Genomic DNA, 12,801 nt, shown 5'->3' with positions numbered 1-12,801 from the left:
TTGCTAGTTCCCACAAAGCTCCAGATGAATTAGAAGGGGTCAAATTATTCTGTTTCATCGATTGGCCTGCTAAATTTTAGGGAAACTAGGCACCTTCTACAGATTATGCACCCTCTATAGATTATGCATCTTGTTGGCTGGGACTGCATATATTACACTCCGCAATTCATAGCACAGTACGTAAAAACACGGCAGGGATAGGGATGGAAAAAGCATTTCAATGTGTAACACTCTGTACACATTGCTATTAAATCAATTTGCATATAATAAATGTTTAACCTTGGGGGAGCCACTTAATGTCTCAGAGTTTCGCTTTTCTCCTCTTTCAATTGGGCAGTCAAATGTCTCTTTATTTGACTTATTTTCCAGTTGAAGAAACTGAGGCAGCAAGGTGTTAAGGGACTCGACTGATTCAGTGAAAGAAAACTCTTCTGGAGAACTTTAGCACAGAAGAGTTAGACCAGGCCTTTCTCCATCTCTCCAACCCGGGGGTTGGGGGGAGCTCAGAATTATTAGGAGGGCTACATGAGACCATGGAAACTTCCAGTACCATTCCTGCCTCCTTGTCAGGATTCAGGGCCAGTGCTGGCTTCATGGACTTGTAACCTGTGCAGACTAGTAGGGCCCTGTGCTCACAAGGACCCCATGATTGGCCTGATGCTTTGTGGCTGTCATCTTTAAATTCGTAACAATTTTTGAGTAAGGGACCCCAGATTTTCATTTTGCGTTGTGTGCCACCAATTATGTAACAGATCCTACTCAAGGCATTTAATTGGGTAGTTTGCCAAAGCTCACAAAATAGGTCAACACACAGAACGAGAAGCAGGATCAGCCAATCAACAAGTCTTCCTTGAGTACCTGATACATGCTTCCCAGCACCGCATTGTCTGAGCCCCTCCCAGGTTGGAGAGATGGAGAAAAGCCTGATCTAACTCTTCTGTAATGAAATTCTCCAGAAGAGTTTTCTTTCACTGATTCAGTCAAGTCCCTTAACACCATGGCGCCTCAGTTTCTTCAACTGGAAAATAAGGCTGTTAGTAGCACTTACGTCTTTAGGTGTGAGGAATAAATGGGCCAATCTGCGTAAAATTCTTTGAACAGTCCTCGGCAGATACTAAGCTCTATATAAGGGTCGACTGTTTCTGTTTTGTGCTGTTATTAGCTTTTCCTTGTCCAGATGCTGGCATGGCTTTTTTCTTTCATGGTGCACATTCTCTGACCTCTATTCATAAAATTTTAAAACTCCCAGGCTGGCTCTCTTCCCTCCACACATACTAGTCCTTTGCTGCTCAGAGTGTTTTCTCAGGGAAAACATTCCTATAGGATGTTTATGGGGGAAGATATTCTGTGAGATCTGGTTCCCATTTGACTTAAAAAGGAAACTTCATAGCTGTTATTGGTGGAGCCTGTACTGGCACTAAATGTACATTGTCTGAATCCATGTAGCAACCCTGTAAGGTGGGTGTTTTATGCCCATTTTACAGATGAGGAAACTGAGGCTCACAAAAGTTTAGCAGAGTGAGGATTTGGAACCAGTTTTTGCTGGACCCAAAATCCATGTACCTTCTGGCCGAAGCCCCAATGGCTGCTGTTGCTAGTGTAGACAGATGTCAGGTCTCAGGCACAAGAAATTCATGTCCATAAAGTGTAATCTTAGGCTCACTGTAAGCTGATTGCAAGTGGAATTCCGCACCCTGGAATCTCAGCACATAAACAGAGAATCCTCTCTAAAACTTCTACACATATATGCTCGCAAACAAATGCACACTTCAAACTAATTTAAAATCCTGTCTCCATAGACAGTACTTACCCTTAGGACTATGAGCACAGTTTGATCCCAGTCTGTGTTTCAGCGATGTCCTAACGGAAATATCTCCCCGACCCTTCTCCAGCCCCTACCCAGAAGCTTCTGTGTCACTGGAGGTCAGTCACAAGTGTTTCAACATTTCCAACAAGGCGGGAGCACTGCCACTCAGAAGATAGCAATCTCGCTCGTTGAGTACAGCAGGGTGAAGGGAGAGATAATGCCTCCTGTCTCTTTTGGCCATGCTCTGCCCAGCTCCCTGGTACAGACAGTTTGTGTAGATGGAGGAGATTAGTAATCTCTTTCTCTCCCTGTGGCACACATTTAGATACCACAAATACACACGCAGCCAGGTAGAGTGGAAAGAGCACTAAAGGAGGAGTTAAGAGGCCTAAGATCAAGTCCCAGCTCTGGCACCAATGTGCCACATGAGCTCAGACAATTTGTTTTTCCCTAAAGGGACTCATGTTCTTCCTCTGTAAAATGAAGAAGTAGGTCTCTAGATATTAGCAAAGATACTTTCCAACCTAGCTCATCTGTGAATCTATATGTGATGTATTCAAAGATTAAGTGAGTAGGGGACGTTGGGCAATAGATAAGAATAAATTTTTGAGGACAACTTCTTTGTCATTAAGCATCAAATGAGGCCAACCAAAAATGGCTGTTACAGTTTGTGGGATAACAGCAGGAAGGGAAGGAAGGCTGATTTCAGGCTCTTTGGAGGGCCTAAAATCCCAAAATAGAAACTTAAGAGGAAAGAAGAATGGGAGGAGGATAAAATGACCCAGATATAAAACAGACAAAGAAAACAGAGATTTGTAGGCCTCTATGATGTCAGTCCCTTGCTGTGAACAAATTGCCTGGTGCAATTTGAGTAATAGCTTCTGAGTTAGATATAGTCAGGTTTCAATCCTGGTTCCACTACTTGGCAACTGGGTGACTTGGGAAAAGTTACTTAACCTCTCTGATTGTCAGTTTTTTCATCTGTAAAATTGGGTTAATAATAAATATCTGATATTTTTTAAATCTCATAAGGTTGTTTAAGGTTAAATAATATAAGTAAGTAAGTGAAGCACTTAACAGAATGTCCTTTCTGTAGTGAACAACAGATGGTAGCTATTAACTTTTTTTTTTTTTTTGAGACGGAGTCTCTCTCTGTTGCCCAGGCTGGAGTGCCATGGTGCGACCTCGGCCCGCTGCAACCTCCGCCTCCTGGGTTCAAGCGATTCTCCTGCCTCAGCCTCCTGAGTAGCTGACATTACAGGTGAGTGCCACCACACCTGGCTAATTTTTGTATTTTTAGTAGAGACAGGGTTTCATCATGCTGGTCAGGAGCTGGTCTCAAACTCCTGACATCGTGCTTCACCCGCCTCAGCCTCCCAAAGTACTGGGATTACAGACATGAGCCACAGCGCCCAGCCGCTATTAACATTTTTATTCTCTAAATGCAAGTCAGAAAGCCACCCCTTGGGCTGAGTCCCTTTCAGTGTTTTATGACCCGTTGATGTATCACAGCTCACTGTGGAACTACGTCTATTGCTGCAGTTTGCTTCCCTTTGCATAGTTCATGTTAAAAACATGAAGCCTCTTTATTACTCAAGATTTGAGGAAAGCAGAACACTGGGAGCCATGTGGAGTGATTTCCTAACTGGGCTCTCCACCTGCTCTAGGTTTGCCCTGCCAGTGTCAATACACACTTCGCTCTGCTCCTGACTCAGCCATGGACACTAAGTAATCAATTCAAGCTACAGCTAACTGTGGGGATCATGCCAAGATGCTTGGCCTGCTATTTCTATTATCCATTCACAGGAACCCAGTGTAGATATGGCAGCATCCAATGTCACGTAACATTCATACAGCTCTAGCCTCTGTGTGGACCACTCTTGGACCAGAACCTTCCATGATGCTACTCCAAGATTCACAAGATCATAGGATTGTTAAAGATCTTTGAACACACATATTTCAGTGTCATTTTAGAGATCTTCAGTTGATTAAGGACAATGATGCGGCATTTTTATCATGTATCAGAGATAATGATTCCTTTAATTAAGCTACACTTCTGTGCACACTCTTGCTAGGACTGCGTTGCAGCAATATGCTTCTATCTTTATAAGATGCACCAGAGTTTAGTAGAAAATCCACTTGACTTGAACTTCAATGACCTAAAAATCTGAGGCATTTATCCCCTCTGGACTACATTTTTCTTATATCTCATTGTAAGAATTTTTGATTAGATCATTTCCAGCATCCTTTCTGCTCTAAAATCTCATGGTTTTGTGTATTACATGTCATCCACAACTCTGCTTTAAATAGCAAAGTCAGAATTATTGAAGTCTGTCTTGTTCTCTGTATCCCCACCAGCCGGGATTGTGCCTGTACCTAGTATGTACTCGATACATGTTTGTGGCATGGATAAATGAGTGAATTAAGGTGCTGTGTTACATATGCATGGTGTATACATGCATCGTGTCCACTCCCTACTACATGCAAACACTTGCCGATGATGAGAAGATGATTTGCTCCAAAAGACTCTTCAGCCTATAGTTCCAGCACTTTGGAAAGCCAAGGCAGACAGATAGCTTGCGCCCAGGAGTTTGAGACCAGCCTGGGCAACATACATATAGAGACGAGGTTTTGCTATGTTGTGTATGTGTCTGTGTGTGTGTGTGTGTGTATGTACAAAAAAATTAGCTGGATGTGGTGGCATGCGCCTGTAGTCCCAGCTACTCGGGAGGCTGAGGTGAAAAAATCGTTTGAGCGCCAGAGGCAGAGATTGCAGTGGGCCATGATCATGCCACTGCACTCCAGCCTGGGTGACACAGTGATGCCCTATTTCAAAAAGAAGGCACTTTGCCTGCTCCTGCTCAGAGGCTACTGGGAATGGATGCACGCTGATGCTTCCTACTGAGGTCTGGGTTCAGGGCTCCAACTGCCAAGCCCTGGGACATGTGGCCCCCTTATCTCTGCTTTGAGCTGACAGACTCCTGCCCCGAGGGTAGGATGCAAGGGGAGATCAAACAGTGATAAGTGAAGTTATAACATCTGTAACATCAACAGGAAGCTCTTTTTGATGGTTTATCACCCACTGGAAAAGGAACCTCTGATCGAGGTCGATAACACACTTTCACCTCCTACCCCACCCCGTAGCCCATTTCGTAAGATAACAGCCTCCTTCCCAAGCCTCCCCACTCTGTGCATAAAGTCTCCTACATTTGTGGGTCACAATGTTTCACAGAAAACACAGCTACTCTCTGTAGGATAACTGTTTTCTCTATTTTAAAGTAGGGAATGTTGTGTCAACAGAATTAGGGATTTTTTGTCTTTTTTTGCCTAAGCCCCAGGCTTGCAAAATAATAATAAGACTGCACATGCAGCTTTCATATGAAGTGTCAGAAATAGGATTGGGGAATTTTTGACAAGGGAGAAAAAACCCTACTCTCTATGCAATCACCCTAATATATTTTTGCATAATGCCTTGTCTGCATACTTGCATTTAAAAGAATAGTTTTCCACATTATAAGGAAGGATCATTTAAAACCCACCATTCTGGTTATGTCACCCTCTGCTCAGAATTCTCCAGCGGCTTCCCATTGCAATTAGGATGAAACCCATGATCCTGAACAACGTCTATAAGGCTTGCCCCCTCTGGTAGCCGCATGCCCTTTTAACTGTATTTCTGCCACTTTGCTTTCTTTTCTGTCTTCACACTCTACCAGGCTTTCAGGATGTTTGCAAATGTGGGTGTCTCTGCATCCAAAGAGTTTTCATAGTACTTGCAATAGCTGCTAAATATTTTGCCTTGCTGGTGGGGCACGGTGGCTCAGGCCTGTAATCCCAGCACTTTGGGAGGCCGAAGAGGCAGATCACAAGGTCAGGAGTTTGAGACCAGCATGACCAACATGGTGAAACCCCGTCTCTACTAAAAATTTAAAAATTAGCCCGGCGTGGTAGCACACACCTGTAATCCCAGCTACTGAGGAGGCTGAGGCAGGAGATTCGCTTGAACCTAGCAGGCAGAGGTTGCAGTGAGTTGAGATCGCACCACTGCACTCCAGCCTGGGCAACACAGTGAGACTCCATCTAAAAAAAATAGAAAAAAAATGCCTTGCTGATCTAACCCTAAATTCCTAACCATTCCTTTGGGTCATCATTCAGTCATTCCCAGGGTTTTACTATTGGCAACTACACTGTGATGGGTACCTTTGTACATACTAATTTTTTTGGTTTATTTTAGATTATTTCCTTAATTTAAAGCTCCAGGAGCAGATATTGAAGTTAAAGGAAACGTCTTTATGGCTCTTGCATCATATTGACCTTCTGCTTTCAAGTCTGTTTTACTACACCACTAGCAGCATTTGAGTGTATCTATTTCACTGCAACCTAGATAGCAATGAATTATCACTTTTTCAGTAATGATATACATCTCCACTGGTTTTTAAATGTATTTTTAAAAATCTATTATTAGCAATAAAATATTTTACTATTTTTCAGCACCAGCCACTATATCAGCTGCTTTATATATGCTTCTTTAATCCTCAGAACAACTTTACAAGGAATATATCATGAACACTATATTAAGATAAAGAAACTCAAGACTGGGGGGGTTAACTTGCTCAATGTCACAGAATTGTTTAAGTAGCAGAATCAGGATTCAAATTCAGATCATTTATTATTGTTATCATTATTACTTCAAAAGCCATTTGCTTTATGCAATATTTGTTTACCTTTTGCATCCCCCCAGCTAAATGACTTTTTGCACAGTCAACATGTCATGGCTTAGGGTGCAGTCCAGCGGGTCTAGACAGAATGACAACATGGCTTCATGGGTGTCTTTAGGATAGCACTCTATAGACAGTTGTTTCTTGCCCCCCCAGGCACCTCTACCACCCTTCCCCTTCCTTTCAGATTAAACTTTTTATTGATTAAAAGTCTCACTCCATACACCGAAGTTTAACCCTAATGACAGGTGCATTAAAATGTCCACCTTACAGAGTTGTTTAAGATTCAATGAACTCATATGAAGCACTCTGTTACCTAGAAAACACTACAAATATCAGGCTTTGTTATATAACTTTATTTTATTTTTTATTTTTTTGGAAACAGGGTCTCACTCTGTTGCCCATACTGGAGTGCAGTGGCATGATCATGGCTCGCTGCAGCTTCAACCTCCTGGGCTCAAGCCATCCTCCTGCCTTAGCCTCCTGAGTAGCTGGGACTATAGGCCCAAGCCACCAAGCTTGGCTAATTTTTAATGTTTAAAAACATTTTAAAAAATGTTTTGTAGCTACGAGGTCTCACTATGTTGCCTAAGCTGGTCTCAAAGTCCTGGGCTCAAGGGATCCTCCTGCCTCGGCCTCCCAAAATGCTGGGATTACAGACATGAGCCACCGCACCCAGCCTGTTACGTAACTTTAAATGTGGGTTAACTATCCCTTACCCAAGATGCTTATGACCAGAAATATTTCAGATTTGGTGGGGAAGGGAGTTGAATTTTGGAATATTTTCATATACATAATGAGATATCTTGGGGATGGAACCCAAGCCTGAACACGAAATTCACTTATGTTTCTTATGTACCTTATAGACATAGGCTGGAGGTAATTTTATGTAATATTTTGAATAATTTTGTGCATGAAACAAAGTTTGTGTACAGCGAAACCTCAGAAAGCAAAGGTGTCACTATCTCAGCACCCATGTGGACAATCTGGCTATTTGGCATCACCATCATTCATGGCTCTGAATTTACTTGCTACTGATAAGCAATCATTTTCTTCCACTTATTCACAGGTAAGTACTTAACAGAAAAAAATGTGATGTGCCCTTAATACGGTGAGAAAACAATGTGTTCAGGGTAACTAAGCAACTACGTAGCATCTCTATAATACCTGTACCAGCTGTTAGACAACAGCAGCAACAAGCATCCCCAGGCTTTCAGTCTCCACCTACGATGTTGTAGCCTTGAGTTCCCAGGCTCAAGCAATCTTCCTGCCTTGTGTGGCTAGGCCTGCAGGCACTCACCACCATGCCCTGCTAACTTTTTAATTTTTTGTAGAGACAAAGTCTCACTAGGTTAACCAAGCTGGTCTTGACCTCCTACCCTCAAGTCATCCTCCCTCCTTCCCCTCCCAAAGTTCTGGGATTACAGATGTGAGCCACCACACCCAGCCTCACCATGTTGTTTATAGGCACTTACTCTGCAGTATTAATGTCATCTTGATGGTCACCATTATCACAGTCACCTTGAATCAGAACCATTTCAGCTATTTCACCATTGGTCAATGAATGAAGAGCTGTAGTCCCAAGAATGTTAAAAACTTCTTTGACATACACTTCTTCCTGCTTACTTACAGACTCTGAAGGTATATATTTTGCATATATAAAGAGCTTAGACATCTTTTTTTTTCACTTCACATAAGGAATCCTTCCAAGTCATCACCGGCTCACCATCATCACTGAACACAGTTGCAGGCCAGAGTTCATTCCAGGCATGCACAGCTGTGTTTTTGTGTCGTTGTCTTCCAAGCACTGGCAACAACCTCTTCTCATCATCGGCAAGTGTTTGCATGTAGTAGGGAGTGGACACGATGCATGTATACACCATGCATATGTAACACAGCACCTTAATTCACGCATTTATCCATGCCACAAACATGTGTCGAGCACATACTAGGTACAGGCACAATCCCAGCTGGTGGGGATGCAGAGAACAAGACAGACTTCAATAATTCTGACTTTTCTATTTAAAGCAGAGTCGTGGATGACATGTAATACACAAAACCATGAGATTTTAGAGCAGAAAGGATGCTGGAAATGATCTAATCAAAAATTCTTATAAGGAGAGATAAGAAAAATGTAGTCCATATAAGCCATCCTTCAGCTAAATTCCTTTTGAAAACCTTCCACACCCACACTTCTGTTCACTGCTTCCAGGATGCTATTCAAGAATGTGTTTTTATATTTATTCTTTCCTGGTCTAAGGATATGCTGGTCACATGGCTGAATTAATGAAGTCACATTTGGGGGAAGTACATGGCATAAACATTTTTGATGAGAATTTCAGCTGGAAGATGAGCAGAACAGTTGTCAAGGAACAAGAAAATCTTGCAGTTGTCATCCAGTCCGACTTCCCTGCCGTGGGCGTGAGCCTCTGGTACAAAAGGTTTATGAAACCAAGCATAAAAGATGTCCCTGGGCTGGGTGCAGTGGCTTATGCCTGTAATCCCAGCACTTTGGGAGATCGAGGAGGGTGGATCGCTTGAGCCCAGGAGTTTGAGACCAGCCTGGGCAACATGGCAAAACCCTGTCTTTACAAAAACATAGCAAAATTAGCCGAGGGTGGTGGCACATGCCTGTGCATGCCTGTAGTCCTAACTACTCTGGAAGGTGAGGCGGGAGGATGGCTTGACCCCAGGAGTTTGAGGCTGCAGTGAGCTGTGACCATGCCACAGCACTCCAACCTGGGTGACAGAGCAAAACCCTGTCTCATTAAAAAAAAAAAAGACTCCCTGGTGATCCATGTTTTTTTGTTAGCATAATAATGGACTGGAAGGAAATTCACTTACAGAAAACAACAAGTTTTTGCTTCTCGCAGCAAGTACACTTATGCATGCCTATTGCATTAGCACATCTAAGCATAGTTATCCTCTCCTTGGCATCCTTAATTCCTATAAGTGCTGTCTCATCAGCTGTAGTCAGTGTCTTTCTGGGGCAATAATGCCAAGACAGTGATGTTTCATCAGCATTAAAGACTTGTTCTGGCTGTGCACGGTGGCTCATGCCTGTAATCGTAGGACTTGGGAGGCTGAGGCGGGTGGATCACTTGAGGTCAGGAGTTCAAAACCAGCCTAGCCAACATGGTGAAACCCTGTCTCTACTAAAAATACAAAAATGTTAGCCGGGCGTAGTGGTGGGCACCCGTAATCCCAGCTACCGGGAGGCTGAGGCAGGAGAATCGCTTGAACCCAGGAGGTGGAGGTGGCAGTGAAAAGAGATCATGCCACTGCTCTCCAGCCTGGGCAACAGAGTGAGACTCTGTCTCAAAAAAAAAAAAAAGACTTTGGCATCAGATTTTTTCAACTGTGACCTTGGCAAACTCACCAATGAATTTATCTGCTGCTTTATAACCAACAGATGCTTTGTCACCACAATAGTTTAAAAATTTAATGCTGTATCTTTACTTAAATTTCTGCCGCCAGCCTGTTGAATATTCACAGTTGTCTTCAATTTTCAGTCCATCATCATAGATCTGTGTTTGTTTCATGGTCAGCATACCATTAAGTGACATATGTCCACTGCCAATGATCCACTCTTTTCATACATGATTGAGGTCTTCATTTTTAGCTTTATGCGGTGTTTTTCTATTTTTCATTAACTTCTGTTCATCATATTCAGCACAGGACTCCAACAGTTTATCCTTGTTTCTTCATGTCATATATGTTGGCCATTCCAACACCATACTTTCCAGCAAGATGCTACACACTTACACTGCTGTCCAGTTTCTCCAGCAGCTTGATGTTCCGTGCTATAGATAAACATGAATGCTTCCTCTTTTTCTTATCACTGTTACCCATAGAGATATTTGGCAGGCCTTCTGGACATTTTCAACAATATATTTACACCACAGGCAGAGAATGAGCAAAAAAACACAGTGAGTAATGCACACAGTTTTGGCCCCCTGTGGGGCATTGTGGGAATGGGCCATTAACACGTCTGGCCCTGTTATTACCCTTTGTGGGTGTGCCTGGGTGAAGGGAACCTGGGCACGTGCAGAAAAAATACATCACCTATGAGGGGGCTGGGAGGGTCTTTTTCCCTTTGGGAATGTTGAATAAACTGTGTGCTCTGTGCCTACATTTTGACTGAGACCTGTCACATGAGGTCGAATTAGAAGTTTTCTGCCTGTGGCATCATGTCAGCACCCAAAAAGTTCCAGCTTTTGGAGCATTTCAGATTTCAGATTTTCAGAGTAGGGGTACCGAACCTGTAATAATATAAAGGAAATGGGGGATGACTCCTGAGTGCAGGGTTTCCTTTAGGGGTGATGAAAATGGCCTGAAATTGATGGTGGCGCACAACAGTGGGTGGTTGCATAACTCTGTGAATATACTAAAAACCACGGAACTGTGCACTTTTAATTGGTGAAATGTGTGGTATGTGAATTCTATCTCATAAGGCTAATATTAAAAAGAATCATATAAAACATTTGCTTTGCTATGATGGCCAGTATGCCATCCCTCCAAGTAGCTCTGACATTCATTCATTTATTCATCCATTCATTCATTCTACAGATATTTCTTGATAGTCCACTATATATGTGGCTCTGTGCTAAGCACTGGGATACAGAGTTGAAGAAGATAGACATTGTCCCCATCCTCATGCTATTGGGAACATAGACTTTAGATAAAAAATTGCACTGAGGTGTGATGAATTTTTTATTATGGAAAGTTAAAAGGAGACAAGGAACATACAGCAGAGGGTCCTATCACAGTCTTTGGTCAGAGAAGGTCCCAACTCTGATCTAGGGAGTGGAGGGAGGATTCTGGGCAGAGGAAAGAGCAGAAAGTCCCATGAGAGAGAAAGTGCCCAGTGCATTTGAAAAACTGAGAGCCAGCCAAGATAGAGGGGAGCGGGTACGAGGCAGTGAGGAGTGATGAGGCTGCAAAGGTGGGAATGGGCCGGATTACGGAGGCCCTTGTTTGCTGTGTTAAGGAGTCTGGATTTAACCGACAGATAGTGCTAGCCCATTGAAGGCTAGTTGGTCAGTCAAAAGGAGGCAAGATTAAGTTCTTTTTAGAGGAACCCTCTGGTTGCAATGTGGAGAATAGACTGGAGGAGATAAAGAGGCCATTAAACGGATGTTTTAAATATGTAGGAGGTAGAAATGATAGGATTTGGTGATTGAACTACTTTGAATGGAGGTGGGAAGGAGAGAATTCCAGGGTGACTCACAGATTTCCAGCTTGGGCAAGTGGGTTGGTTGCGCGAGACAGGGAGTCATGGAGGAACAGCGGGATACTTTCGTTTCAGATGTGTTGAGTTTGAGAACACGGGGCCCAGTATGCATAGTGACAAAAACTCAGACTCCGAAGCCCAACAGGCCCTTCCACCTTATTGCTGTGTGATCTTGGAGAAGTTACCTAAGCTGTCTGTGACTCCACTTCTTAGAGATGATAATAATAATAATACTAGCTTTCTCAAGTGCAGTAATGAGAGTTATGAGTTAATATATGTGAAATACTTACAATGTGTCTGGCACACTTAAAGACTATACAAGTGTTTATCATCATCATCATGATTGTTGCTATGATATGCCCAAAAGATGAGTCCAGGAAACAGATGTATGCACCTGTCTGCTGCTGGCAATGTAGATTTTAGTGGCATCAGCAAGCAAATGGCACCTGAAGCCTTGGGAGTAGAGTGAGAGGGCAAAGGGCCAGGACAGAGCCCTGAGGTGCTCCCACATCAGAGACAGGTAGAGCCTGCCAAGGAGATCCCAAAGGCCTGGTAAAGACACAGGAGGAGCCAGGCATGGTGGCTTATGCCTGTAATCTCAGCACTTTGGGAGGCCAAGGTAGGTGGATTGCTTGAATCCAGGAGTTTGTGACCAGCCTGGGGAATATGGCGAAACCCTGTCTCTACCAAAAATACAAAACTTAGCTGCCCATGGTAGTGCACGCTTATAGTCCCAGCTACTTGGGGGGTTGAGGCGGGGTGAGGGGGATTGCTTGAGTCCAGAAGGTTAAGGTTGCCGTGAGCTGTGATCACACCACTGCACTCCAGCCTAGGTGACAGAGCGAGACCCTGTCTCAAAAAAAAAAAAAAAAAAAAGACACAGGAGGAATGTGGTGGGTGTATACAGATGCTGAGCCATGAGGAGCAGTCATAAATGTTAGGGCTTCTGGCTGTCACCCTGCTTTCTTTGGGCAGTAAAGACCACCTCCAGTTGTGGTGTTTCAGGGGACATGCTGGAATTCAGTAAATTGAGTTTTTAATATCTA

General features: G+C 43.3%; 1 protein-coding gene and 1 non-coding gene across 3 annotated transcripts in view; both read right to left on the bottom strand.

Moving 5' to 3' along the window:
• Positions 1-12,801, bottom strand: part of RHEX (regulator of hemoglobinization and erythroid cell expansion) — a 49,277-nt gene that overhangs the window by 16,989 nt on the left and 19,487 nt on the right. The window contains exon 1 of one of the 2 annotated variants that reach the window (NM_001369490.1): positions 1,811-1,866. The exons of the other annotated variant lie outside the window; for it this stretch is intronic. The gene's annotated coding sequence lies outside the window, so the exon portion shown is untranslated. Of the gene's footprint in view, positions 1-1,810; positions 1,867-12,801 lie in introns of those variants that run through there. 2 annotated transcript variants of the gene reach the window in all.
• Positions 5,137-5,222, bottom strand: LOC124900428 (small nucleolar RNA SNORD60). Its single transcript, XR_007067382.1, has one exon. It is a non-coding gene; the product is annotated as a small nucleolar RNA SNORD60 (small nucleolar RNA).

This window comes from Homo sapiens, chromosome 1 (assembly GCF_000001405.40).
Source record: "Homo sapiens chromosome 1, GRCh38.p14 Primary Assembly".
Taxonomy (NCBI): Eukaryota; Metazoa; Chordata; class Mammalia; order Primates; family Hominidae; genus Homo; species Homo sapiens.
This window is presented reverse-complemented; position numbering and strand designations above follow the sequence as displayed.